The sequence below is a fragment of the Homo sapiens genome, chromosome 12 (genome assembly GCF_000001405.40).
Source record: "Homo sapiens chromosome 12, GRCh38.p14 Primary Assembly".
Classification (NCBI taxonomy): Eukaryota; Metazoa; Chordata; class Mammalia; order Primates; family Hominidae; genus Homo; species Homo sapiens.
Genome location: NC_000012.12, coordinates 113,048,359 through 113,050,486, shown reverse-complemented (window position 1 = coordinate 113,050,486; position 2,128 = coordinate 113,048,359). Strand labels below are relative to the sequence as shown.

The following is a 2,128-nucleotide window of genomic DNA, read 5'->3' as shown; positions in this document are numbered from 1 at the left end:
CAGCCTCCCAAGTAGCTAGGACTACAGGTGTGCACCACCACACCTGGCTAATTTTTGTATATTTTGTAGAGACGGGGTTTGGCCATGTTGTCCAGACTGGGGTTGCAACTTTAATCAGCTTGTCAGGGAAGGTACTACCCAGGTGACATCTGAGCCATGACTTGAAGGAGAGTAGCGAATAAGGGGAGATCTGAGGAAGAGGGTACTGGGTAGAGGGCACAGCAGGTACGAAGGCCGCTAGGTGGCAGGGTGCTTGACATGCTGTAGGAATGGCAGGGAGGTCAGTGGGCTGGAGGAAGTGAGTGCAGCCATGTGAGAAGCAGGCGTAGGGAGGGAGAGAGATGGAGACACGGGGGAGAAGAGAGGGAGAATGTTTCCTGCGTTTCCCAAGGGGTTCTTCCCAGCGACTGGCTATTCAACTTTTCCTTAGGTTCCATGAGGCACCCCAGTTTCCTTGAGGTGGTTTAATGGGGTTTCTATTACTTGTAAGCCAGTGAGTCCTACCTGGTGAAATCACTGGCCCTGTGGCCAGAAGATCATGGTGTGAGTTTCTTCAAGAAAGATTTCTTAAGAGAAACTGCAAACTGGAGGGTTGGTGCTCGCACAGCAGAAGCCCCTGGGAGATGGAAGGGGACCCAGGCGGCATCGGCTAAGGGGTATGGAATAGCAGTTAGCCCATTCATGGAGTGATTTCTAGGTACAGGGATTTTATTACACTCTTCTTTTCTTTTGAGACAGGGTCTCGCTCTGTCACTCAGACTGGAGTGCAGTGGCATGATCTCAGCTCACTGCAACTTCCTCCACCCAGGTTCAAGTGATTCTCTTGCCTCAGCCTCCCAAGTAGCTGGGATTACAGGCATGAGCCACCATGCCTGGCTAATTTTTGTATGTTTAGTAGAGACAGGGTTTCACCATGTTGGCCAGGCTGTTCTCAAACTCCTGACCTTAAGTGATCCACCTCGGCATCCCAAAGTGCTGGGATTACAACCCTGAGCCACCTTATTATGCTCTTTTAATCCTCCCAACAACTCTGACAGGCATTATTACAGATTTTACAGGTGGGGAAACTGAGGCAGTAGAGGTTGTGGCATACACAGTGAGTATTTGAGCCTGAAAACCCCAGGTCTGGCTGACCTCGGAGCTCTTGCACCTGGGATATGAGGTGTCTGATCTATTTCCATTGTGGTGTCCCTTTGTCTTTGGGGACCACAGTTTCTCTCCTTTATAGTGTGGGTGGGTGGGTCCTTGCCTCCTGTCCTCTCTTCCCCAGCTCCTGGGCCATCGAGAAGGCCTATGAGCAGCCAGGCGAAGTGGGAACACTCAATCTGGAATTCGCTGTGTCTCCAACGTGGAGAGAAGGAACCCAGAGAAAGAACGGGGTTTAGAGTTAGTGTGGCCTGGGGTGTGGTGGAAGTTTAGTGTGGCTAGGGGACTAAGAGAGGGAGTTGGGGGGAGGTGTGTTTGTGTGTGTGTGTGTGTGTGTGTGTGTGTGTGTGTTGCTTATGCAGAGCTGGTTCATTTGGGGAAGGGTGGGGGGAGCAGAAAAGAGAGAGGAACCCTAGACCTTTTCCTCCCTGTACAAATCAACCGCCTGAGTCCAGCAGGCAGGGCCGGGAAATGAAATGGGAGCGTGTGTATAGAACGCCCCCTAGTGGTCTATTTTGGTCCCTCGTTCTAATGCTGGAGACATTTCCAGATAATTTATTTTTAATTTTTTTGTTGCAGTAAACATGCATACCATAAAATTTACCATCTCAATTCTATCTAAGCTAAGTGTTAAGCATATACACATTGTCTTACAACCGATTTCTGTACTTTTTCATCTTGCAAAACTGAAACTGTACCCTTTAAACAAGAATTTTCCCATTTTCCCCTCCCTCCAGGCTGTAGCACCCACTGTTCTACTTTCTGTCTCTAAGAACTTGACTAGTCCAGTACCTCCTATAAGTGGAAGCATGCAGTGTTTGCCTTTTTGTGCCTGGCTTATTTCACTGAGCGTAATGTCCTCAAGGTTTCCCCATGTTGTAGCTGTGTCGGGATTCTCTTCCTATTTAGGGCGAAGCATATTCCACTGTAGGTATAGACCACATTTTGTTATCTATTTGTTATCTGTTCATCTGTCAGTGGA

General features: G+C 48.8%; 2 annotated features.

Moving 5' to 3' along the window:
* Positions 321 to 490: an enhancer, noted in NCBI's record as "active region_7058". NCBI's record gives its function as "activates an Ori minimal core promoter by ATAC-STARR-seq in GM12878 lymphoblastoid cells {active_cell/tissue: GM12878}" and the evidence as "EXISTENCE:reporter gene assay evidence [ECO:0000049][PMID:35858748]".
* Positions 1,559 to 1,678: a silencer, noted in NCBI's record as "silent region_4888". NCBI's record gives its function as "represses an Ori minimal core promoter by ATAC-STARR-seq in GM12878 lymphoblastoid cells {active_cell/tissue: GM12878}" and the evidence as "EXISTENCE:reporter gene assay evidence [ECO:0000049][PMID:35858748]".